The sequence below is a fragment of the Homo sapiens genome, chromosome 19 (genome assembly GCF_000001405.40).
Source record: "Homo sapiens chromosome 19, GRCh38.p14 Primary Assembly".
In the NCBI taxonomy this organism is placed as follows: domain Eukaryota; kingdom Metazoa; phylum Chordata; class Mammalia; order Primates; family Hominidae; genus Homo; species Homo sapiens.
In genome coordinates, this window is record NC_000019.10 from 16,381,917 (window position 1) to 16,408,718 (window position 26,802).

Here is a 26,802-nt window from a genome sequence, read left to right on the forward strand (position 1 = left end):
GTGCTGGCTTCTGGGCCACATCTCCAGACTCGGAGTGGGGCCTCGGTTCCAGTGGCTGCAGTGAGCCTTTCTACCCTCTGTGTCGCGCAATAGGACCCGGGCAATAAAACCACACTCAGCCTGGACGTCCAAAGTTGTAAGACCTGGTGACACACTCAAATCAGAGCCGCCTAACCCTCCAGGCTGACCGGGGACACCTCGGGCCAAGCCGGCTTGGCGCCTCCCATGTGTGTTTAAACCCACGAGGCCAATTGGCAACTCGCGAGGCGACAGGCTTTCAATAAACGCCTGGCACTGCCTCCGCAGTGAATCAGATCACTCCTAGCTCCAGAATGCCCGCGTCATTTCCGAATCCCAATTTTCATGACTTCAAGTTTCCCAAGAAGCCTCCTTGGGGACTCAACTCTTTCCTACTCGGGCAGCGGCTTCAAGGAAAATCTCTATTTTTAGAAAGGTTTCAGTAAAGCTGTCAGGGGCTCTCTGGGCTCGGCAAGAGTGAAGTGTGCTTAAAATAAAAGGAAGACAGAAAAAGCTACTATGAAAACCAGCTCTAAGAGAAACACGTTTGAGTTCACCAGTTGAAGAACTGGTTCAAAACAGAAGACTGAATTTGTAAACAGCAGCCCTAAATATCAATGCACAGCTTTAAACAATTGAGAAGTTGCTAAAAATGGGCTGACGACTAACCCAGTATTTCACAGATGGCTTTTTTTTTTTTTCAGGGCAGAAGAGGGTGAAATAAGTTGGACTCTTGTTTTTATTCTCAAATGCTCCCTGGAAACATACTTTGGGGAATCTGTTTTTAAAGTGAGCTTATGTCACATAGGCTTGATACTGTCTAGAAAAATCTCTTCAGGTGAGGGTGGGGCCTCAACTAAGAGTGCAGGCCCGAAGAGCCTCCCAAAGGAAACTTCTAGAATCAGGCTGTGGGCTGTGACTCTCCTCAGCAAAGCCACGCAGAGGTAAGGTGCTTCAATTCAGGGACTTACAAAAGGGCCTCCCTGCTCTGCTCAGATGGGGAAAAGTTGATGATGGTTTTTTTTTGTTTTTTAAAAAAACACCTTCTTGCCACTTTCATTTCCCTTAGCATTTTATTTATATCCACAATGTTGTTCTTGAAAAACAGATAGGTAACCAAAAAGGAAAAACAGAGCTGCAAGGTCAGGGTTGAGCTCAGAATGCGGCTGTACAAGTGTCATGAAGGCAGCTGATGGAACGCTGGAATCAAAACAAGATAGTATTGGAGACCCATTTTCCACAGCTCTGTCCAACTCTGTCCTGGCCCGGCACCGCCAATAGGAAGTGAGACCGGCTCTGAAATCACAGCTGCATGTGTGTGAAGAGCCCCTGGTTTCAGGGCCCAAGGACAGGCAGAGGGCGGTCATTAGATCCCGGCCCTAGCTCAGGCTCTGCTAGCTCTCCCTCCCTCTGCTCACAGTGAGAGGAGGAAGACAGATCCAGCCTCCCAAAGGAAGAGGAGTCCACTTGCGACAACCAGAAACGACCAGGACGCCTGAGGGACTGCTGCCACCGTGTGGCCAACGTTTTCTGCTTTCGGGAGATGGTTTCCCGCCTGCCCAGGAGCCTGTGCACTGGGCCCTAAATCTTCTGCCAGTCCCAAACCGTGTCACAGCGTGGCATATGAGGGATGGAGGCCTTCTCCGTGTGCTGGAAGGAGGGGGGCGCCATGCCAGGGCCTCTGGGCTCCCTCTGCCCAGGCTCATCTGTGTAAACACACACCCTGCCTCGGTCAGAAGTGGGATCTGCTGCGCCGCCAGGGCACGCACACACGCGTCTTTGAAAACCTGAACAGAATCTCAAGTGCTTCTCGGAATCTGTGTTCTGTGATCACAAGTTGCGACCGCTGCCAACCCCAAGATGCTCAGAGACTCATCTGCTCCACCAGCTGAGTGAACACGGGGCAGCCAAGGGAGACTGCCCAGTCACACTGGCACCTGGGGCACCTGGGCATGGGGCCGGTGGGGCCCCGAGGGGGCCTCATGCCTGGGGCACGCGTCTTCCAGGTACTCCCGGGGCTCCCTCCCCTCACCACCTTCAGGCTGACAGCAGCGCTCACAGGGACTGGGCCCAGCTGCTCCAGGGGACCCCCCACACCGGCCACCCCTTACCACCTGGGCCATGGGCTCCAGGAGGGGGGCTGTGTTCTGCTTGTGGCTACTGCCTCTTCCCGCAGCGTGGATAATGCCTGGGCCTCTGCAGGTGGAACTCGTGAGGAAAGCAGGCCCCTGCAGCCCCCCGAAGACAGAGCCCATCTGCCCCTGCCTGGGGGCTGCCGAGAAGGGACAGAGTGGACGCAGGTGTCAGGGACGGGACACACCTCATCTGCTTTCCTTCATTCCTGCCAAAGAAAAATGCTCCTCACTCAAACAGGGAAACATACAACTCACAAGGAAGCACAATGGTGCCGCAGCCCTGTCCTTCCCACTCACCACAGCCCCCATTTCCAACTTTCCAGCAGTTTCTTCCGGAAGGCACCTCAGTCGTAAGGGGCTTCTATTGTTGTTTTTTGACTTGTCCATTCTGGATGTTCCCTGTTGAATTCTCTATGCTACCTTAAAGATGAGCTCCAACCACACTGCCAGCGTCTGGAGAAGCCCTACAGCTGTCTGGGACCAGAGCCACAGTGAGTTCAGGTCACCGTGTGGTGAGGGCCGGACACCAACGGGTCCAGTCTGGTAACCAGCCTCGCTGCTGTCCTCCTTCAACAGTTCACTCCTCACCTGTGGATCTGTCTGCATTTATTCAAGGAGGCCGGCCCTCACTTTTCAACACCCCTTGAGAGTTCTGTCACATGGGCGACTCTGAACACTCGCTGGCCCACTTTCCCTGGACGCCTCGCACCTGCAGGCCTGCTGCCCATGGCCCTCTCGAGACGCCTGTGCCCAACGCCTTCTCAAGTTTCTACTCGGCCATGGCAATGACTTCACCGTCTGAGACCTGATGGTCGTCAGACACCAGTGGGAGCCAGGGGAGCCCAGGGCACCTATGCCACTGGGAAGGGTCAGGGCTCACCCCACGGGACTGCAGTGCATTGGATCACAGCCATGGATGCTTTCCAGACCTGACCTTGTGTTGGAAAGGTGCCGGGGAGATACATACGTGACATGAACAATTACGCCTGGCAGCCCACACCATGACAAGAGGCACAAAGACACTAGCAGAGGCGCGGGGGCTCCGTGGAGGGGCTTTACCTTGGACATCTGGCTGAAGTCGGCAAAGCCTTCAGCACTATTGAAGGACCCACTTCCGAAGGGATCTAAGGTTCCAAAGGGATCTGCAATCGGCACCAACAAAGTCAGAGTTACAGGTCTTTAAGAGAACATGCCTTCTGGGGTGGAGGGGAAATGCTAGATGGCCCCTGAACCAGGAGACTCAGGAAGGCTGCATTTATTCATTAGACACGTGTGTCTGCATGAAGGCCTCTCAGCAAGGCCCCCCTGCCCACTCTGGCATGGCAAGACGGTTTCTCACTGTGACGACCACTCTGGGAGGGCCAGCATCATTCACGGTCATCAGAAGAGTGACAAGTTGCCACAGAGGCGTGGCCCCTGGGTCCCACTGGGTCTCAATGGGTCAGGAGGCGAGGAGCAACTCCAGGGCGACCTGCCACCCACATGATTTATACAGGGTGGTGTCTTTGGATAGAGGTTTTTGCTGTGTTTTCTCCTCTAACCTGGAAGGGATTTGCCTAGAGTACTGGATACACTCGCCTATGATACCAAACACTGCTACCCGCCCCACGCAAGCTGCAGGACCAAGCGGGGCCTGTTCCCAAAAGAAAGGGGGTGTCCACAGATGCTCCCATTGCATAAAGGCTCGAGCGTGCATCTGCGAGTTCTACACTGTGAGATGAGGTTCCTTCAAACACAGAACCCACAACATAGGCCAGTACCTGGGGTCAAATTCTGGATTTCTTTTAGGGAAAAAACCCAAAGATACAAACCAAAGATTTATAAGGAGGAGTGAGTAAACAGTAGTTAATATCACTGGTGCTATTACTGAATTCCTACTGCCAAAATTCCTTTCTGGAAAGATGCCAGCGCGTGCCCAGGAAGGGGAGCAGCAGCGGGTGCTTGTTTTGGCCTAATGGGCTCAGGCCAGGATCTGGGTGCCACTGACTGATGACACAAACACAGAGGCCACGCTGGCTTTGGGAGTGAAAGTGTTAACTGCGGGGGAGCTCTGCTACTGCCCAAGGAATAGTCAGGAAGAAAAATAAGTCATGGGTCTCACCTGATCCTTTTGAGGAGACACTGGAGGATGAAAAGGGATCACTGGATTCAAAGGGGTCGAGCTAAATGAAAGGAGAGAGGAAAGAGTAAAAAGCAGTTCGTTGGTTCCATCACCCATTCATTCAACCAGACCTTCCTGACGTCGATGTACAACATCCAGTGCTGAGCCAGAGGGAAAGTGGAATGATTAAAACTCAACCCAGGCAGAGTAAAATCCCAACAGATCAACCCTCCTGCAGATAGCACCTATCAACCTGGACGGAATATCCCCAAAATTACAAATACAAAAAGCAGTGGCCTGAAGGCTGGGAAGTGAACAAGACAGGAAGAAGACTTTGGAGGAGAATTTGAATGTGGCAGAAGAACATAGCAGGAGGTTGAGTTTCCATTCCGCCAGCTACAGCAGGAAGGCACAGTGAGGGTGCCTAAGATTCTGGTAGAATCTGACCACCAGAGGATGGAGCCCAGAGACAACCACTCCCAGGGGAAAGGAAGGGGAATCGGGATGGAGGGGCAGAGATGCAAAGATGCAAGCCCTGAACTTCATGATCCACTCTCCCCCAAGTCTCAGGCTGGCCTCTGCACACGCAAGCCTGGGGGGACTCGAGGCAGCCTGTAGCTGAGGCCACAAGAACTGAGCTGGGATTGGAGCTTCTGCCATCTGCTGGTGAGTGTCTGCAGTGTGAGTGGCACCAAGTTAACTGCCTGCTGAAACAAATCCATTCCTGCTCTTTGGAGAAAACAGACTACAGTCTCTACACAGAACGCTCACCATGTATCAGATACATTTCTAAACATATAAAGAACTGGAAAAATGTGACCACCTCTCACCGGAAAAGACAATCAGTGTAGCCAATCTCAAAATAACCCAGATGGTGGAACTCTGAGACAGGGACAACGTAAAACGGTGATTATAACTGTGCTGAATGAGGAAAAGGAAAATACACTTAAAATGAGTGAAAACACAGGTGACCTTAGAAGAGAAATAGAAAATATACGAAAGAAACAAATGAAAGTTCCGGAACTGAAAAAGTGTATCTACAATAAAAACTTCATCACCGGGGTCAGTGGATCACCCAAGATCAGGAGTTCAAGACCAGCCTGGACAACATGGCAAAACCCTGTCTCTACTAAAAATACAAAAATTGGCCAGGCGGGCAAGGCACAGTAGCTCATGCCTGTAATCCCAGCACTGTGGGGGCCAAGGCAAGTGGATCACCTGAGGTCAGGAGTTTGAGACCAGCCTGGTCAATATGGTAAAACCCATTTCTACTAAAAATACAAAAAATTAGATGGGCGTGGTGGTGGATGCCTGTAATCCCAGCTACTTGGGAGGCCGAGGCAGAAGAATCACTTGAACCCAGGAGGCAGAGGTTGCAGTGAGCCGAGATTATGCCATTGCACTGCAGCCTGGGCAACAAGAGTGAAACTCCGTTTGAAAAATAAATAAGCCAGGCTTGGTGGTGCATGCCTGTAATCCCAGCTACTCAGGAGGCTAAGGCAGAAGAATGGCTTGAACCCAGGAGGTGGAGGTTGCAGTGAGCTGAGATCATGCCACTGCACTCCAGCCTGGGCGAAAGAGCGAGACTCTGTCTCAAACAAACAAAAAAAAACCCCACTTCATTAGGTTAGCTAAATAACCAAGAATAAAAGAAAGAGTAAGTGAAGTTGAAAACAGAGCAGTAGAAATTACTCAATCTGAAGAAAAAGGAGAAAAAAGAATGAAAAATAAATAAATAAATAGAGCCTCAGGAACCTGTGGGACAATAACAAAGGGTCTCATATCCATGTAACTGGAATCCCAGAAAGAGAGGGGAGAGAAAATTGGGCAGAAAAAACAAATTAGGAGAACTGACAGCTGAAAGCTTACCAAATTTGTTTTGTTGTTTTGAGATGGGAGTCTCACTCTGTCACCCAGGCTGGAGCGCAGTGGTGCAATCTCAGCTCACTGCAACCTCTGACTCCCAGGTTCAAGCGATTCTCCTGCCTCAGCCTCCCAAGTAGCTGGGATTACAAGTGTGCACCACCACGCCTGGCTAATTTTTGTATTAGTAGAGACGGGGTTTCACCATGTTGGCCAGGCTGGTCTCGAACTCCTGGCCTCAAGTGATCCGCCCACCTCAGCCTCCCAAAGTCCTGGGATTATAGGAATGAGCCACTGAACCGGCAATGAAAACTTATCAAATTTGTTGAAAAGCATAATTTACAGATTCAAGAAGCTGAGCAAAGCCTAAACAGTATAAACACCAAGAAAACTACACCCAGAAACTTCAAAAACTACTGAAAACCAAAGATAAAGAGAGAATCTTGAAAGTAGCCAGAGAAAAACCACCTATTACATACAGGATAACAATGACCTGAAGAAATACTCCTCTCCACCGGGCACGGTGGCTCACGCCTGTAATCCCAGCACTTTGGGAGGCCAAGGCAGGCAGATCACGAGGTCAGAAGATCGAGACCATCCTGGCTAACATGGTCAAACCCCGTCTCTACTAAAAATACAAGAAATTAGCTGGGCATAGTGGCGGGCGCCTGTAGTCCCAACTACTCGAGAGGCTGAGGCAGGAGAATGGCGTGAACCCGGGAGGCGGAGCTTGCAGTGAGCTGAGATCACGCCACTGCACTCCAGCCTGGGCAACAGAGCAAACTCTGTCTCAAAAAAACAAACAAACAAACAAACAAAAACTCTTCTCATTAAGGACAATGGAGGCTGGAAGGCAGTGGAAAAACACACTAAACAAACAAACAAAACCCCAACAACCTACATCAAACACAATGTCCTTCAAGAATGACAACAGGCCTGGCACAGTGGCTCATGCCTGTAATTCTATCACTTTGGGAGGACGAGGCGGGCAGATCACTTGAGTTCAGTTCAGGAGGTCAAGACCAGCCTGGCCAACATGGTGAAACTCCATCTGCATTAAAAATACAAAAATTAACCAGAAATCGCTTGAACTTGGGAGGCGGAGGTTGGAAAAAAAAAAAGAAAAGAAAAGAATAATAGCTGGGTGAAGTGACTCAAGCCTGTGATCCCAGCACTTTGGAGGGGCTGAGGCAGGAGGATTGCTTGAGCCTAGGAGTTTGAGACCAGCCTGGCCAACATATGGAAATCCCATCTCTACAAAAAATAAAACAATAGCTGGGTGTGGAGGTACATGCCTGTGGTCCCAGCAACTTGGGAGGATGAGGTGGGAGAACTGCTTGAGCCCAGGAGGTTGAGGTTGCAGTAAGCCAAGATCACACCACTGCACTTCAGCCTGGGCAACAGAGTGAGACTCTGTTTCAAAACTAAAAATAAAAAAATGACAACACAGTCGACCTGAGCTATAAGAAGTGCTAAAGAAAGTTCTTTAGGCTGAAGGAAAATGATAATGGAGGGAAAACCAATCTTCAGTAACAAATGAAGAGTATCAGAAATGGTACATATTTGGGTAAAACTAAATGACTACTTTTTTCCTCTTTCTTTACAATACCCACAATGGATTAATACAAAAATTGTAACAGTCTTATGGAGTTTCTAATGTATTTAGATGTATGAAATTCACATGACGGCTATAACATAAGACATGCTGGCTGCAAGGGTGGGTGGACAAATGGACCTACATGGTTGCAAGTTTTCTATATTTTACATGAGATAATACAATACTAACCTCAAGTAGACTATGAAAAGTTAAAGCTGTACATGATATTTCCTAAAGCAACCTCTAAACAATCATTAAAAGAGGTATGATTAAAATAATAAAAGGCCAATAGACAGAATTCAAAAAAACATTCAAACAATTCAAAAGAAAGCAGGAAACAAAACATGGGATAAAAAGCAAGCAAATAATAAAATAGTAGACTTAAACCATATCAATAATTACATTAAATGTTAATGGACTAAACATTACACTTACAAGGCAGGGACTTCTGACTGGATTTTAAAAAAAAAAGCAAGCCCCAACACTATGCTACTTACAAAAGACACCTATCAGTTTTAAAGATCCAGGTAAGTTGAAAGTAAATGGTTGAAAAATGATGTATCATGTAGTGAATAACATGAGGAGAATGAAGTGATTAAACAGACTTCAAGACAAAGAACATCACCAGAGATCAAATGGGAATCTTTTATAATGATAAAAAGGTTGTTGTGTCAGAAAGACACAACAATCATAAACACCTATGCACCTGACAAAGCTTCAAAATACACAAAGCAAAACTTGATCAAATTAAAGTGCAGTATGAACAATTCCACAATCATAGGAGAATGTTTAACGCCTCTCTCTCAGACACTGGTAGGACTAAAAAACAAACAAACAAGACACAGATAATCTGAACACTATGAGGAACCTCAACCTCACTGCCATTTGTAGAGCATTACACCCAACAACTAGATACACATTCTTCTCAAGTGTACATGGTTTGTTCACCAACATAGGCCACAAACAACAACCCTTGATTAATGTGAAGGTATTGAAAACATACAGAATATGTTCTCAAATAACAAATTTAATTAAAAATCAATAATAATAGTATTATAATATACCTAGGAGAAAAAGCCAAGTATCTGGAAATGAAACAACATACTTTTAAGTAATCCATAAGTGAACAGAATTCACAAGGGAAACTGGAAAATATCTCAAAACTGAATGGCAATGAAGAGATAAAGTATTCAAATATATGAAATACATGTAAAGCAGTGCTTAAGGGAAATATGTTGCTTTAAATTTATACAGATGCTCCTTGACTTACCATGGGGTTACATCCTGATAAACCCATTGTAAGTTGAAAATATTTTAAGTTGAAAATGTACGTAATATCCCAATAAACCCATCACAAAGCAAAAAATCAGAAGTCAAACCAATGTTAAGTCCAGACACTCCTTGACTTATGATGGGACTGCATCTCGATAAAACTATTGTAAAGTCAAAAAACTGTAAATTGAACCATCGTAAGTCAGGGACCGCCAGTACTAGAAAATGAAGTCTAAAATTAATGAATGAAGCTTGGATCTTAAGATGTTAGAAGAGCAAAGTAACCCCAAATAAATAGGAGTAAGGAAATGGAAAAAAATAGAAATAGAAAAGAGAAAATCAATGAAATAGAAAACAAGCAGTAGAGAAAAATGAAGCCAAAAGCTGGTTATGGGAAAGGTCAATGAAATTGGTAAACAGATCACCAATACCAGGAATGCTAGGGAAATTCTCACTACAGGTCTTAAGGACATTAAAAAGGGGCCAATAAGAAAATACTGCAAATGAGTCTTTGCCTTCAAGGAGCTTCAAGCGCTAAAGACCAAAAGGTCCACAGGGAGTGAGCGAGGTGGGCGCCAGGGTAGCAGGAGCCCTGAGAAGGAGGGTGAGTGCCCGTCTCTGAGCAGGCCCCGGGCCTGGGTTGCAGCCTAGAAAACGGAAGAAGGCTATGAAGCACGCTCACTCCATCATGAACATCCTCTGCTCCATCACCGAGGCTGCTTTTTTTTTTTTTTTTGGTTTTGAAATCCAAGTTGACACCTATTTAACCCAATCTCTTGGGCATAATATGCAAAATACCCGGTGTCTGCCACGCCCGGGGATGGGAGTACAGGTATGCTGGAGTTGGAAACTGGAGGGTCAGAGTTGGCTGATGCTCTCAGGAGACACCAGGCAAGGCAGCCGGGCTGAGACGCCTGCACTTACTCCTGCCGTGACGGGAGCACCTACCAAACGTGACTCTAAGGTCCCCACCAGTGCTGTGTGTTACAAGGACCGTGCAGGGTGGCCGGGTCCATGCGAGCATGTGGTGCTTGTGTGATTTAGTCTTTTTTGGGAGATGAAGGGGCAGTGGGGGCAGATGACTAGAGTTGAGGGGTAGGAATGGGGATAGAGAAATAAGAACTATGGGTGACATCCTCCTTGCCCTGATGTGGGGCCACTGGACTGCTAACTGCACCTTGGGGCTCACAGGATGTCACTGCAGTGACTAGGCCAGTGAGCTCCCTCACTCAGCAGGAATGAAATCAGCCTGGGATACCAGCTCCCGGAGAACAGACACCATGGCCCACACTCGCAGGCACCATGTACGCTCCACGAAGGGAAGGGGGCCTTCGGGAAGCGCCACCCTTACCACACAGAGCAGGCACGCAGCTCTCCCGGGCAACGTCCCACCCCACTCACCTTCGAAGGTAAGGAAGGGTTTTTCGTGAATGGATCCGAGGTAAATGGGTCATTCTTTGTCTGTTTCTTGAAGAAGTCGTCAGTGGCAGAGCCACGGAATGGGTCACTTTCTTTGAAAGGGTCCCCTCCAAATGGATCTAGAAGGAAAAATGCCCCATAAGTAAACATTATACCAAGTGAAAGAACCCAGACATAAAAGAACACATCACAGAATGATGCCGTTTACATGAAATTCTAGAAAGGTAAGAACGCTAGTGACGGAAAACAGGATAATGGTGGCCAGGGGACCCTGAGGAGAGGGTGGAGGGTGACAACAAAGGGGCCTCAGGAATGACAGAAGTGTTCTCAAATTGCACACAACCGTGCATATTTAATGAAACTCATCTTATTACATAGTAAAATGGGTGAATTTTGTTCTGTGTAAATTATGCCACTCAATAAAATTGACTTTAAAAATAATAATATCCTGGCCAGGCACAATGGCTCATGCCTGTAATCCCATCACTTTAGGAGGCTGAGATAGGAGGATCACTTGAGGCCAGGAGTTCAAGACCAGCATGGGCAACACAGAGAAAAATAAAATAAAAAATTAGCCAGGTGTGGTGGCACACGCCTGTAGTATCAGCTACTAAGGAGGCTGAGGCAGAAAGGCTGCTTGAGCCCAGGAGGTCAAGGCTGCAGTGAGCTATAATTGCGCCACTGCACTCCAGCCTAGGCAATAGAGTAAAACCCCATCTCTAAATAAATAAATAAAATATCCTGCAGGAGCTGGATATAATAATAATAATAATAATAATAATAATAATAATAATAATAATAATAAACAACGCAGGTAAATCCATAGAGACAGAAAATAGGTTGGTGGGTGCCAGGGGTTGCGGGAGGGAATGGGGAGTGACTGCTGATTGGGATGGGGTCTCCTTTTGGGGGGATGAGAATGTTGTGGAACTAGATGAAGGTGATCATTGCACAACACTGTGAGTGTGCTCAATACCACTGAATTGGATGCTTTAAAACAGTGACTTTTATGTTACATAAATTTCACCTGAAAAAAAATAAATCGGTCGGGCATGGTGGCTCACGCCTGTCATCCCAGCACTTTGGGAGACCAAGGTGGGCAGATCACCTGAGGTCAAGAGTGTGAGACGAGCCTGGCTAACACGGTGAAACCCCGTCTCTACTAAAAATACAAAAAATTAGCCGGGCGTGGTAGCGGGCGCCTGTAGTCCCAGCTACTTGGGAGGCTGAGGCAGGAGAATGGCGTGAACCCGGGAGGCGGAGCTTGCAGTGAGCCGAGATCGCGCCACTGCACTCCAGCCTGGGCGACAGAGCGAGACTCCGTCTCAAAAAAAAAAAAAATAAAAAATAAATAAATAAATAAATAAATAAAATAAATAAATAAATTAGCAAGCAATGTGATCCCACCACACTCCAGGGTGGGGTGCGGGCAGTGACTGGACCTGGGGAGGGGAGCCACCTCCAGAAGGGAACGGGACCGAGAATGGGTACAACATGGATGGACGGCCGTCCTTCCCAGTTACATGGCTGCCATCCCCGGTGTATGTGGACACAAGTCCCACCACATGCGACTTCTGAGCCAGGACTGGACACAGTCTAAAGACCGGTCCGGGAAACACTGAATTTTACCTGTTGAAGTTGTCTGCTGTTCTGCAAAGGGGTCATTCTGGAACGGGTCGCCTGGTTGGAAGAGGAGAGAAATGCTTATTAGCTCTAGGGCACAGGATGCGGGCCGGGCCCTTGGACACAGCCACCCACCTCCCAAGCCTTTCATTGCCTTCTACTCCTCCAGTGTAGGGAGAGAATGTTAGTTCCTTCTCTACTATCCACCTGCCCTCAAAACCTTGGCAAATCAAAGAGGGGGACCTGGAGGAGGCAGCTGTTTCTGGCTAGGATGTTTAAGATGAGAAGGAAGGTACTGCTGGCTGTCCCACACAGACTGGAGTTGGGGAAGACACAGAGTGGGCTAGAATTCACTCCTCTCTTCCCATGCTGGGTTTCCTTTATCCCATCTGCCTGCCAGCTCCCTGGGTAAGAGGACACAGGACCCTGGGCTGTCCCTCACTTTATCACCGGCCCTGCAGCAATGAGGCGGCGGCACCCCTGGGCTTCAGGGGCTGCCAGATTCGCCTCTCAGACCCGGCAGGCTTCAAACCCAAGCTGAAGCTCAAGCTCCCGCTGCCCTCTCCCCACCTCAGTGTTTTTCTCAAAAATGTAGAGAGCCTTCCTCCTGGAAATACTGTTTTGCTCTGAAACATGGACAGAAACTTGGAAATCTTGTTTCTGGAATTCTTAGTTATTCTTGACTCAGGTGTGGCTCTGGACAGACTCCTAAAATTATCCAGACCTTAGGTTTATGTAGGAATCCATGGTTTTCCAGGTACTTTCATGATCATTACTAGCTCTGATTATTTTATCAACCCTGTGAGGTGAGCAAGGAGGAAATTTATTAACCTGCTGAGGGATTAGGAAACTGAAGTACTGAAGGGTTCAAGGGGGCTGGCCAAGCTGCCTTCAAATGTGGGTCTTGTGGTGAGCTTGGAACACTTCCCACTGTATCTTGATGCCTTGGCTCTCTGGTTAACAGGGTGAGATAAGAAGCTTAAAAGGCGTTCCTGCTGGGTGCGGTGCCTCACACCTGTAATCCCAGCACTTTGTGGGGCTGAGGCGGGTGGATTACCTGAGGTCAAGAGTTCGAGACCAGACTGGGCAACACAGTGAAACCCCAACTCTACTAAATATACAAAAATTAGCCGGGTGCGGTGATGGGCGCTGAGGCAGGAGAATTGCTTGAACCCAGGAGGCGGAGGTTGCAGTGAGCCGAGATTGCGCCACTGCATTCCAGCCTGGCTGACAGCAAGAGAGCGAGAGTTCGTCTCCAAAAAAAAAAAAAAAAAAGGCATTCCTTTCCCCCTCCATTTCAGATTGTGGCATGTCCTTACTTTTCTAGTTGAAGAACCACTCTAAATTCGACATAAAACACACAGTCTTTCAATGAGAAAGTGGGTAGCAAGTGAGATACCTTTGAAGGGGTCAGCTCCTTTAAATGGGTCAGATTTGAAGGGGTCTTCTGTCTGGAAAGGATCCGGATGCAACTCTTGCGTGTTGTTGCTAAATAACAAGGCTTTATTTTTGAAAGGATCATCCTACAATTTTGTGAAGAAACAGGACAGGGATTTTATTATTTCTGAGTTAAAGCAAAGTACGGAATTCCATACTTAACTCACATTTCCACTTTGAGTAGCATGACCCTAAAAAGAATGATTTAGCCAGGAGTTCGAGGCTGGCCTGGGCAACATAGCAAAATCCCATCTCTATAAAAACAAAAATTTAAAAATGAGGCCAGGCATGGTGGCTCACGCCTGTAATCCCAGCACTTTGGGAGGCCAAAGCAGGTGGATCACCTGAGGTCAGGAGTTCAAGACCAGCCTGGCCAACATGGTGAAAACCTGTCTCTACTAAAAATACAAAAAATTAGCTGGGTGTTGTGCCGGGCACCTGTAATCCCAGCTACTTGGGAGGCTGAGGCAGGAGAACTGCTTGAACCCAGGAGGTGGAGGTTGCAGTGAGCTGAGATTACGCCATTGCGCTCCAGCCTGGGCGATAGAGTGAGTCTATCTCAAAAAAAAAAAAAAAAAAATCAAGGTGTGGTGGCGTGTACCTATAATCCCAGCTACTTGGGAGGTTGACTCAGGAGATTGCCTGAACCCAGGAGGTGGAGGTTACAGTGAGCTATGATTGTGCCACTGCACTCCAGCCACAACAGTGCAAGACCCTGTATCTTTAAAAAAAAAAATTAATTAAAGATCATTGAAGAAGTATGAACTTGAGTGAATAATAATGTTTAATACTGGTTCATTAGTTGTGACAAATGTACTATATATGATGTGACTAACAGGAGGAACTGGGTGTGGGATATAGAGGAACTATGCACTATCTTTGCAGTTTTTCTTTTTCTGAAACAGGGTCTCACTCTGTTGTCCAGGTTGGAGTGCAGTTGCACACTCATGGGTTACTCCAGCCTTGACCATCTGGGCTCAAGTGATCCTCCCACGTCGGTCTCCCGAGTAGCCAGGACTATAGGCGCGCACCACCAAGCCTGGCTAATTTTTATATTTTTTGTAGAAATGAAGTCTCTCACTATGTTGCCAGGGCTGGTTTTGAACTCCTGAGCTCAACTGATCCTCCCACCTCAGCCTCCCAACGTACTGGGATTATAGGCATGAGCTACCGCACCTGGCCTATCTTTGCAATTTTTTCATAAATCTAAAAACTATTCTAAAATAAAAGTTCATTAAAAAATCATTGAGTGGAAGCAACTCAAATGTCCATCGATGAATGAATGGATAAACGGAAAAACAAAATTTTTTTCTAAGTCAGAAAAAAATAATGAATTTGAAATGTCATCAAGAAAATTGTAACGAGCCACACAACAGAATCTGATTCAGCCTTCAAAAGGAAGCAAATTCTGACACATGCTCCAACATGGAAGAACCTTGAGGAGAGGCTGCTGAGTGAAATCACAGTCACAAAACAACACACAAGGTATGATTCCACTTCTATGAGAACCCTAGAGTCATCACATTCACAGTGACGAAGTAGAACAGTGGCTGCCAGGGGCTGTGGGTGGGGGGATGGGGAGTGGGTATTTCATGGGGATGAAAACGTTCTAGAGCTGGGTTCCACAACAATGTGAATATACCTAACACTACTGAACTGTACACTTAAAGACAGTGAAGATGGTCAAGTTTATGTCTATTTTTCTTTCTTTCTTTTTTTTTTTCTGAGACAGAGTTTCACTCTTGTCATCCAGGCTGGAGTGCAGTGGCGTGATCTCGGCTCACTGCAACCTCCACCTCCCGGGTTCAAGTGATTCTCCTGCCTCAGCCTCCTGAGTAGCTGGGATTACAGGCGTGCACCACCATGCCCAGCTAATTTTTGTATTTTTAGTAGAGATGGGGTTTCACCATGTTGGGCAGGCCAGTCTTGATCTCCTGACCTCAAGTAATCCACCCCCCTCGGCCTCCCAAAGTGCTGGGATTACAGGCGTGAGCCACCGCGCCCGGCTGTTTGTCTATTTTACCTGAAAGTTAAACAATTTTTTTTTAATCAATGAGTCAGAAAAAAATAATAAACTTGGAAATGCCATGAAGAAAACTGTAAAGAGCCACTCAACAACAGCAGCACAGGCCTCATTTCAGAGGTGTGACCTTCCTCAATCATCCTTTTCTCGGTGAGTATGTACCTAGGTGGGCATTTGGGAAAATGGAGTTTTCATACCAAGAAACATGCTGGTTGTTTCTGTCCTATGAGGAAATGAGTACTTATGCAGTTAGAATTACTAGAGCATACACAATGCTTTGCATTTTTTTTTTAAAGTGTGTATTTCTAGAAACAAACAGGTTCATTTAAACGAGAAGAAAAAATATTTACTTTTGAAGAGCACATTTTTGTAATGGGAAGTAGTCTGAAAAGGGTGGGTTTGTCATATACATGGGAACAATACAGTTGGTTTAAATAAGGACTCTGTTTTAGTTAATAAAGACACACCCTCAGTGAAAACATGAATGTTTCACTGTGATATTAAAAAAACAGCACAACACCCTCATTGAATTTGGCAGACACACTGGCATTCCTGCGTAGGACTCACAAACCAGTCCAGTATTCCAACCGACCAAAACAAAATCATTAAAAAGCCGGGGCGTCCACAAAAATAGGGACAATGGTGTGGGGAAATGACATCAAAGGTCCAAAAGAAAGTTTCCTAGCAAGGCTGCCACCACCCTGGGGCAGCCAACTTAGGGGTGCAGGACAGTTATGAGAGGTACAGAGTTAAGACAAGCCACCGGTCTGGGCTGTGAATGAGTGTGAATCAGCATGAGTGCCGCTTCCTCGGCCCCCACTTCAGGAGAATGCACCCACATCCCTGCCATCTGATGAACATGGAATGGTTTTTCTTACCTGGGAAAGAATAGCTGGAGCCTCCGACCACAGGGTTTTCCCAAGGTGGGGAAACCAAGCCGGGTTCTTAGACAAGTTAAGTACAGATGTCCACAAGCACTGCAGCTGGAGACAGTGCTGAGTGGACGTCAGGTGCTGACGACCACAAGACACACACGCCCAGCAAGCGTCTGATGGGGGTCTCGGATGCAGATAAAGATGGAGAAGTCCTACTCTAAAGAAGCCAGGAGGCCCACGTGGAAAATCTGCCTTTCACACTGCCCCATGGAAGGAGGAATGTATTTGTTCCAGAAGAAAGAGAGGAATCATGACCTGGATAAAGCAGCGAGTTAAGAATGCCAGCTTGACCTCAGAATGAAAGCTTCTATTTAGTTTGTTTTTAAAGGTAGGATCTCACTACGTTGCCCAGGCTGGAGGGCAATGGCTATTCACAGGTGCAATCCCACTACTGAGCAGCGTGGGAGTTTTGACCTGCTCCGCTTCTGACCAGGGCAGGTTTACCTCTCCTTAGGCGACTGGTGGTCCCCTGCTCCCAGAAGGTACCATACTGATGACTAACTTAGTGTAGACACCCAATCAGCATAGCACACTACAGCCCAGAACTCCCGGGCTCAAGGATCCTCCTGCTTCAGCCTCCCAAGTAGCTGGGACTACAGGCACTCGCCACCATGCCTGGCTCTATTTAGTTTTTAATTGGCATTTATTTATAAGGTTTTTTTTTTTCAGTGTTTTCAGTCGTCACTTGGAAGACTGCCAAGTAACAGTGAACAATGGCAGAGAAGAGACTGAGGTTCTGGGAATGCTGGCTGCAAGCCCCCTGCACTGACAGTCAGGCCTGCAATCACTTTCTCAGGAGTCATTGGCCTGAAGCCACAATCACTCCTTCCCCTTCCAAGGGGAAGCCTGAGACCCCAGCAGGATTCAGGAGGTCAGGGTAACTAATAGTGGTTTTGATTCCATTGCACAGAATCAGAGTGGGAAACGAGATTTCCCTGTTACAAAGATACCATCAACTCTACCCCTTGCAGACCACCTACTAAGGAGAACAGACCCATCTGCCAACTTGGGGGACACGAGTACAGCAGACAAGGGCCAGGATGAATGACACGGCCCTTGGCAGAGATGTAATATCTTGAACAAGTTCAGCAACCAGTGTGAAGTTGTACCCTTCTTAGGAAATACACACGGCAACTCTGAAAGGGGGCTGAAGAAGCTTCTGTGACATTCCCGCCCTTTAGAGGAGTGCTGGGCAGCAGGGGTGTGCTGGGAATCAGTTCTCTCAGAAAAAAGCCCTGGTTTAGAGCTTCTGCCAATTCCTGTGGTGTAAACAGTCTCATCATGGTTGATTTCAAGTTTCCAAGCAACTAGCTCACAAGTTCCTGTTTTTTGCTTTTTGGGGTTTTTTTTTTTTTTTTAGAGATTGAGTCTCGCTGTGTCACCCAGGCTGGAGTGCAGTGGCACGCAGCTGGCCTCAAGCAATCCTCCCACCTCAGCCTCCCAAAGGACTGGGATTACAGGTGTGAGCCATTGTGCCCGGCCAGTTCCTATTTAATAATCGGTTCTGGAAAGTCAATAAAAACTGGCTCCAGCATGCCACTGGGTCTGGATGTGACAGATCAATCAACCTTTCTTAATCTGTCCTCAGTAAGGCCTAAGTCTGGGATGATTTATTAGCTTCTCTCCATAAGTTGATTGGATGGTGAGCAAGAGGTCAATATTCTCATAATCAGATGATAGACAAGAAATAAATATGGCTTTAAGAACCCTGACTTTGGCGGGTGAGGTGGCTCACGCCTGTAATCCCAGCATTTGGGGAGGTCGAGGCGGGCAGATTGCCTGAGGTCAGGAGTTCAAGACCAGCCTGGGCAACACTGTGAAACCTCGTCTCTACTAAAAATACAAAAATTAGCTGGGCATGGTGGCACGTGCCTGTAATCTCTGCTACTCGGGAGGCTGAGGCAGGAGAATCACTTGGACCCGGGAGGCAGAGGTTGCAGTGAGCTGAGATTGTGCCACTGCACTCCAGTCTGGGAGACAGAGCGAGACTCCGTCTCAAAAAAAAAAAAACAAAAACAAAAAAAAAAAAAAACCCCTGACTTTTGAGATAAAGTCACACTGCGTGAGCTTCACATGGAATTTAGTAACCTGAGTAGAACTGTCCAAACATAGGAAGTTCCAGATGTACCACTGTGGATACACTATTCTCAGGGACCTAAAACCCCCAACTTCGACCCACAAGGGAGAACTAAGACACCTCTCTCTCGGCTCTGAAGCAGTCTTGAAGTGTTCAGGAGTAAACAAAAATCTCTCTTCCAAGTATTTATTAAGAAATAGAAACAAGCCAGAAAAATGCTTTAAAAACTGTATTTGTACAACAGGATAAAAACAGTTTTTCTTTCGGATGCCAGTTGCAAGTTTCCATGTAACGTATCTTAATCTACATTCCCAAAGTAATTGTGTCTCAGGTAACCTTTGCCCTGCCCAAAAGATGAACAAAAATAACCAGAAAGGTAAAAATCTGTCTTTGGAGTTGGGGGAATCACTGGCCACTTGCAAACTGCCACTTCACTGCCAACTTTTATCCAAGAAAACCGGTTTCTAAAAACCTGCAAAAGGGACATTTAAGAGGAAGCTGTTCCCTGAACGAAGACTGAGCAGGACAAGCCAAAAGCGGTGCCAGGGGACAATGCCAGATGGGGAAAGTAGGAGCCGGGTTGTGAGACGGAAACACACACGCCAAGAACAGCCAGGGAGCAAAGCGAGGAGTTCTGGCTTCTCGTAACTCATGAAGGATGAATGCTCATCGTTTAAATTTAGACGATAAAGCTGATGATGACGGGCCCGGGGGCGGCTATGGAAACCACCTCATTACGAGTCCACGAGAAAAGAGAGTATGGGAGGAAAGAGGGAGGCGGTGCACCCAGCGGGGGCCAGACACAAGAGACAGATGAGCTCGCCAGCAGTGCCTTCCCAGCAGCCCAGGGGACGCGTGTGCTTCCCCATAAATCCTTGGGACTGAGGACTTGGCTGCTGAGAAAAGAAACACATCAAGCATTGAACATAAAGAGGCAAGTGTGGTGTTTAGAGAGCACGAGCGCTCACTCTTATTCCAGGGAGGAAGAGGAATCCATGACGTACAGAGGCCCAGGAGCAGAAGGGCTCCAGGGAGGAGCCCTGGGAGAGAGGGTGGCAGCACGGAGAGAGCTGCTGGAGGCAGCAGAGCACCAAGGAAACATCCAGACATGCGCGGCCCGGCCCATCCGCTCCCGGAACAGCACCAAGACGAAATGGGAAACTACATGTCCCCAGGTTCGAGGCTGCAGGGGCAGACTCTGGTGTGAACAGGGGGGATGTGACCACCTAAGGAAAAGGTCACACCTGTCTTGGTATCAGGGGCTCAAGAGCTCTCAAAAATGTAAGGGGCCGACAGTCCCCTGCCCCAGGCCTGATCACAACTCCAGGGTCATGAGGTCAGAGTAAAGTGCAGAGGTTTTTAAACATAACCAAAATTTCAGGAGAGGCCAATTCTTACTTGAAAGAGCAACACCCTGGGGCGCTGCTTGCCATTACTTCCTCATCTTTAGCAACACATTTGCTTTTCAAGGTGTTCCTTGTGGAAACACACATACACATAGACACATGCCCCTCAGATGTCCCCTGCCCCCTGATTAGTAGAATGTGGGGTTTCCACAATGAGCAGAAACTGATCCAATTTTGGTTAAGTTTGAGAAGCCCTCTGAACTTGGGTGGTTGGCCCAATGTAAATACTTCCGCAGAGATGGAGGGCATTCAAAACAGGTTCTGAAAGGATCCAGGCCTATCTTGGACTTTGTTCTGGAAGCCAGGATTCAGCATGGCCACCTGTGCCAGGCTGCAAGGCCTGGTGTGAACGCGCAAAGTGGCAGCAAAAACAACAGACAGCCGCCTGCACTTGGCTGGAACCAACGTTGGCCATGAACAGATCTGGCGGGTGGGATGTTCTGCTGTCACACCAGGGGACCAGAGCCCCATACTGTAATACGTTTATTCAACCTTTACCATGGCTCCAAAACTGCCCCTCTCTGCCAGGGAGACGCCTTCGCTCAGGTTGGCCAGGTCGGTCAGGCTGGCACCATGGGCTCCATCGAGCACCTGGTCATACTGCTCCAGGCTCCTGTGGGCCTCCTGGCGGCTTTCATGCAGCTGGGAAAGTTTGCTCCTTGCCTGTGCAACAAAGACATCATCAGCATTAAGCAGGGTCAGGAAAACATGTCAGAAAAGACGCTTTTTTTTTTTAAAACACAGGGTCTCACTCTGTCACCCAGACTGGAATGTAGTGGAGTGATCATAGCTCACTGTAGCCTTGAGCTCCTGACCTCAGGAGCTCCTCCTGCCTCAGCCTCCTGAGTAGCTGGGACTACAGGTGCGTGTCACCACCTATATTTTTGGGCAACAAACCAAGACCCATCTCTGCAAAAAATACAAAAAAAATTCTGTATTTTTTGTAGAGATGGGGTCTCGCTATGTTGTCCAGTCTGGTCTTGAACTCCTGGCCTCAAGTGATCCTCTTGCCTCAGCCTCCTAAAGTGCTGGGATGACAGGTGTAAGGCACTGCACTGCGCAAAGCAACATATCTTTGCTCCTGACACCCAACTACAAACTCTAAGGGTTAGAAGAGAAAACACTGAAAGTAATCCTACAGATATTAACCATAAAGCACAAGAAAGGGTGGTAAATCTCTGAGCGGTCCATGCTTGCGATCAACTGTGGCCTATAAACTGGCTAATGGAGCACAGACAGAGACCAGTTCAATTGGTAAAAGAAGTGTGCCTGGCCACTCCGACACAGGCGAGGGCCAGTGTCACAACCACTGTGTAGACTGGATGCCCAGGGCCAGGACAGAGGCCTTCATCTACTGCCCACAGGAGAGCAGGGAAGGGCAACGGCTGCAGGCCACGAGAAGCCAGCGCCCCCCCCTGGACTGGGAAGAGGGTGGGGGCGTCCCAGGCAGCTTAGAGAATGGGGGTCCTGCATGGCGTGATGCTCCAGGGTGGCGCCTCCTGAACACACCAGTGGCTGTGGAGGATGACGTCTGTTCTCTTGCCCAAGGACAAAGAAGTCATCTCTCTGACTTTGTCCCTCTTGTTTGTGTGAGGACCAGGCTGGAAAGAACCCCAAGTTCTCTCCAAATGAGCCATTAATTAAGTGTTCCCACCCCACCCCGCCTACTCCTTGAAGATGCTGTGTGCTCAGGAAAGGAAAGTGAACTCCTCCAGGCCAATGCCAACAAACTCTGGAACATGCCCTGGGGAGTCCTTGGCCCTGCGCCTCCAGGCCAGCACCACAGCCTCCCAAAAGAGACCCTCACGTAAGTAACAAGGGTGAGAGCAAAGGAGTTCAGCAGTGGCAGCCTCGGCTCTTGGGGCTCGCTGGTCCCTGGCATGTGGCAGGGACCCGACTCCGTGAAGTACCTGGTTGATTTCGTCTTGCGTTGACTTCAGGGACTTGATGATGGTTTCCAGCTGGACTCGCCCAGCCTGAATGCTCTGCTCCAGCTGGGTTTCCTCCTGCTGCAATCGGTTCAGCTCCGACTTGGCTCGGTTCAGATCGTCTTCCTGGGACTTTAAGTCAGATTCCTGAGATTGGATTTGCGTTTTCAGTGATGAGATCTGAAATGAGATGTTAAAAGATGTTAAAGAGATTCACAGTGCAGGATGAAATGGGACTCCGAGAAAGAACTCTTAGCCCCCATCCCCGAAACAAGCTAAGCCAGGGACGCAGACACCTAACCCAGGCCCGACACCTGGCTTCCTTACAGGCCTCTTTCTACACCCAAAATAGAGACACAAATGAAAAGGCAGATGGGCTCATCCCACTGTGGCTAACGGAAGATCACTTTGGAATAATGAGGGGCATGACCAAGCACGAACAATCTGTCCATCCCCCCAGAGGCTGAACGTCATAGAGTTTTCTGAGGTTGCAGCCTCCGGGATCTGTGAGGAGCCTCAGAGACACCTGAGGAGGGGACACAGGCACCCTGGAACTCCCTGTGTTGTGGGGCACAGCCAGGTGGGGTGTGTTCAGGGCACAAGTTCGCAGGGACCAAGGCCATTCACTTATACAACCTGACTTCTAGGAGTACAGGGGGGTGGCCAGGAAGTCAAGCCACAGGTGCTTGGACACTTTTCCACGTGGTGTTTGGAGGAACTCTATTGACCCAGTAGGATGTCTAAGTGTTGTGTTCCCAGGTAACACGAGCTCAGGGGAGTCCTTGGGAAGCCCCTGCCTGTGCATAGGGCGCTGCCCCGGAGGTGGCCGGGACCCACCATCTGAGTCTCATCCTGGCACTTCTGCCGGACGTCGCTCAGCATGTCTCGGAGCTTGGCCTTCTGCTGGTCCATCTCGTCCAGGCGGTCTTGAGCATCCTGTTTCTGAGCCTCGAGCTCCTGCAAACTGCTTGTTTCCCGGTCTAGGTCATTTTGTAATTCCTAGGGAGGAGTTGCAGGGGTTTACGTGAGGATGGGAAAAATGAAGCATGTCCAAGATAACGGGGGGCAGCCTGGGCCAGAAGTCCAGGGGAAGCCTCCGAAACCACCCACTGTGACCGTGCTCAGGGCCAGCATTCCGTGCACACCCACGGCCAATGTGTGCCTCTTGGGCTGGAGGCCCAGGGCCACTGTCTCACCAGCTCCCTCAGCAGGTATTTCCCGATGGCCTAACAGAGGCCAGGTGCGAGAGAAGGGGCTGGGTCCCTGTGAGAAAAAGGCCCCAGCTCCCGGATGACATGCAGCTGTGGCTGCGGAGGGGAACATCACCCAAACGCAAATAAACGTGGACAAGTGGCACCAAGGGGGTCACAGGGAAACTACAGTCACACCTTGTGGGCAGGGAAGATGCCCACAAAAGCAGCATTTAGGATGGGGCCAACAGGTGAGCAGGTGCCAGGCAGGTGAAGAGCCAGGGACAGAGCCTGGCGGAGGGAACCACAGGGACCCCAGGGTCGGGGGGTGTCGCACTCCAGCTAGAGCAAAAGGGAATGGGTGGAGGCATCAGAGGCTGCACCCCACAGGCCACGCCAAGGAGACTGCGCTGGGCTCTGTGGTGGGGAGCCCGGTGGGATGTGTGAGTGTGGGAGGCGGGACATCATGATTCTGTTTCTGAAGCTCTCTCTGACCCCGTGGGATGGATCCAGATGGTCAGCCCGAGGCTCCAATGCCCCATGATTCCACTTCCAAGAAAAGCATCCTGGAAGCATACAGCGTGTGCAGAGGTATACAACGTCTATGACAGCAAAATCCGTAAACAATGCAGATGTCCATGAGGTGCTGGCTGGAAGGTTCCAGCACAGCCCACACTGTGGGACGCTCCTTGGCCATGGAACGGGATGGCGCCGTGTGCTTTGCCTTACAGTGGGACATGAGCACACTGCATTTGTGCGAACGGGAAGGGGAGGGTATGTGTGGTATGCATCAACCTTTCTGGAAGGCCCCCTCCAGGAGCTCATGAACAGCACCTCCGGGGATGGGGACACCCAAGAAGAGGGCAGAGGCTTCTCACCTCCTGATTTTCAACCACGCAAATGCATTATCTGTCTTTAAGATAAATAACCAAAGCTGAAATAGCACAACGGGCATTGTGACAAGCCTCCTCCCTCCAGCTGCCATGTGGAGCGTGGTGCAAGGGGCCATCAGGACGCAGGAACTGCAGGGGCCTCGGGTGGGGTCCAGGGAGAGGCAGCAGCAGCTGGGGCCTGAGTGAGGTGGTGGTCGTGAGAATGGAGAGGAGGGGTGGGTTTGCGGGGAGCCATGGCTGGGTGGTGGGGCTGAGTCCGAGAGCCAGCCTGGGCTGCTGGGGTGGCTGGTGCCCTGAGATAACAAAACCAGAGGTGGCCCAGGGTCTCCCCTCTCCTCACTATGGGGACAAAAACATCCTGGTGCTTCCCTGCCTCGATAGGCAAATCATGCCTCAGGAAGCTGGGGTCTCCGTTCCCCAGTCTCCCTGCCCCTGGCCTTTCACTTGAGGGCTGGATCTGGAGGGGACAATCAGGGTCACTTATGGACATGTTCGACAGGAAACTCAGGAGAAAGACTCCAGTGAGTGTGCCAGGAAGGGAAGATGCTGGAAACATAAAGTCAGGCGTGTCAGCATCAAGGTGGTATTTAAACACGTGGGAATGGGTGAGGTGTCCAGTGGGGGGCACAGAGAGAGCCTGAGGTAGCCCAATGCTCCGAGCGATGCTCCCACCAGGGACGGAAGCCTCTAGAGCCTCCTAAGTCTAACCCTGGCCCCATCACCGGGTAACGCTGGCAGCAACTCCCTGGTGTCCTGGGCCTCAGGGTTCTAGTTAGCGCCACACTGGCTCCTTCCAGGCCACGGCCCATGGATCCAGGACACTAGGGGCTCCAACACCTTTGGCCTGCCCAGAGAAGTTCCCTCCTTTACCTCCTCCTCAAACCAAAGATGCCAAAATGTGTACATCACATCCTTCATGCACAGAGCAGAGAATATTTGCCCAGAAGAGGCATGACAGGAGGACAAGAGGGAACTCACTGGCCACATGCCGTGTACTGAATGTCTGTTGTTGAAATTCTCACCCCCAAGATGATGGTATTAGGTGTGGGGCCTCTAGGAGGTGATTAGGTACAGCCCTTGTGAGTGGGATTAGTGGCCTTATAAAAGAGGCCCCTGAGAGCTGCCTCGATCTTTCCACTGAGGGAGGACACAGCAAGAAGGTGCTGCCTATGAACCAGGAAGTGGGTCCTCACCAGACGCTGAATCTGCAGGCCCCTTGATCTTGGACTTCCCAGCCTCCTGAACTGTGAGCAGTAAACTTCTGTTGTTTATAAGCCTCCCAGTGCATGGTGTGCTGTTATGGCAAGCCAAATGGACTAAGACACACATGCCATGTCAGCGTCTGCAGTGACAAAGGTGCTCAGGGTACCTCACCACTTCTCTAAGAGGGTTCTCACAGTCTCAACCCCTCCTCAGAAGCTCCTGCCCTACTCACTCTTGGCTCTCCCTTCCCTTTCTTCTCCCCACTCCCCAGCATTTTTTTTTCTTTTGAGACAGAATCTCACTCTAACACCCAGGCTGGAGTGCAGCGGTGCAGTCTCAGCTCACTGCAACCTCTGCCTCCTGGGTTCAAGGGATTCTCGTGCCTCAGTCTCCCGAGTAGCTGGGACTACAGGTGCACGCCACCACGCCCAGTTGCGTGATTTTTTTGTTTCTGTGTTTTTGTATTTTTAGTATAGACTGGGTTTCACCATGTTGGCCAGGCTGGTCTTGAACTCCTGGCCTCAAGTGATCCGCCAGACTCAGTCTCCCAAAGTGCTGGGATTATAGGTGTGAGCCACCATGCCTGGCCTTCTTTTCCCCTTCTTGATTCTTGCTTTCTCCCTTCTTGATATATAAAATCAATAAAGCTGAAATACACAATTGTTTAAACCTTGCTGGGTAATTTTTTGCACATAGTTTCTCCCCCATTTAGGAACCTGAGCTGCAGTTTCCTTCAGGGCAGTCTCCGTCTTCCCCCTTCATTGAAAAATGTCATTGCTCCGTCAGGCCACAGCGCAGCCAACCCCTGTGACGTGACAACTCCTGGATTCCCCTAGACACTAGTGGAGACCCTGGGCCAGAAGGGGTGGCTGCTGATGGGACAGAGACTGTGTCTCCAAACCCCTGAACTGAGGCATTAAGTCTAAGAAGTTTGGGGGTGATAACACAGAATAACTGAAACAGAGTTAGTTGTGGGAGCTGGGGATGTGGGTGGCCACATCTAAGGGGAGTGATGGATAAGGGAAGGGAAGATGGGAAGAGCGTTAGGCCGGATGGGGTAGCTCTGGACACCAGGTAACAACAGTGTGGAACTGAAGGAACCTGGACCTCATTCCGTAATGGAGAAGGAGCCATCAGAAAGTCCCAGAGGGACAAAGACCCACCAGCTCGAGGTTAGGAAGGGGAGCTCAGAGCAAAAAGAAGACAAAAATAACCCCAACAGTCCACGGAGTCCACACAATCCCTGTCAGAATCCCAGCTGGCTTCTTTGCAGAAACAGACAAGCTGATTCCAAAATTCATATGGGGCCAGGCACGGTAGCTCACGCCTGTAATGCCAGCACTTTTGGAGGCCAAGGCAAGCAGATCATCTGAGGTCAGGAGTTTGAGACCAGCCTGGCTAACATGGTGAAACCCAGTAAAATACAAATTTGTAAAAATACAAATTTTTACAAAATTTTGTAAAAATACAAAAATTAGCTGGGTGTGGGGGCACGCATCTGCATTCTCAGCTACTCGGGAGGCTGAGGCAGGACAATCACTTGAACCCAGGAGGTAGTGGTTGCAGTGAGCCGAGATTGCGCCACTGCACTCCAGCCTGAGTGACAGTGAGACTCCGTCTCAAAAAAAAAAAAAAATCACATGGAAACACATGGGACCCAGAATAGCCATGACAACCCTGAC

The 26,802-nt window shown here is 49.0% G+C and overlaps 1 protein-coding gene across 13 annotated transcripts in view, besides 2 other annotated features; it reads right to left on the minus strand.

The window, feature by feature from the left end:
- The window catches only part of EPS15L1 (epidermal growth factor receptor pathway substrate 15 like 1), a 116,766-nt gene that overhangs the window by 26,670 nt on the left and 63,294 nt on the right, over window positions 1-26,802 (minus strand). For 11 of the 13 annotated variants that reach the window (NR_047665.2, NR_047666.1, XM_017027089.3 and 8 more), the window contains 8 exons: window positions 22,672-22,833; window positions 21,817-22,014; window positions 20,405-20,569; window positions 13,428-13,551; window positions 12,035-12,085; window positions 10,388-10,524; window positions 4,255-4,315; window positions 3,213-3,295 (listed from right to left, as the gene is read on the minus strand). Coding sequence is in view for 11 of the 13 variants with exons in the window: in XM_017027089.3 (XP_016882578.1) it covers window positions 3,213-3,295; window positions 4,255-4,315; window positions 10,388-10,524; window positions 12,035-12,085; window positions 13,428-13,551; window positions 20,405-20,569; window positions 21,817-22,014; window positions 22,672-22,833 (981 nt within the window). In the remaining 2 variants the exon portion in view is untranslated. Of the gene's footprint in view, window positions 1-1,072; window positions 2,360-3,212; window positions 3,296-4,254; window positions 4,316-10,387; window positions 10,525-12,034; window positions 12,086-13,427; window positions 13,552-18,672; window positions 20,570-21,816; window positions 22,015-22,671; window positions 22,834-26,802 lie in introns of those variants that run through there. The other 2 variants (NM_001438228.1, NM_001258376.2) reach the window with 2 other exon arrangements.
- Window positions 1,010-1,099: an enhancer, noted in NCBI's record as "active region_14229". NCBI's record gives its function as "activates an Ori minimal core promoter by ATAC-STARR-seq in GM12878 lymphoblastoid cells {active_cell/tissue: GM12878}" and the evidence as "EXISTENCE:reporter gene assay evidence [ECO:0000049][PMID:35858748]".
- Window positions 1,352-1,853: an enhancer, noted in NCBI's record as "H3K4me1 hESC enhancer chr19:16494079-16494580 (GRCh37/hg19 assembly coordinates)". NCBI's record gives its function as "activates a minimal SCP1, AML or CMV promoter by ChIP-STARR-seq in naive H9 embryonic stem cells {active_cell/tissue: H9 hESC(naive)}" and the evidence as "EXISTENCE:reporter gene assay evidence [ECO:0000049][PMID:30033119]".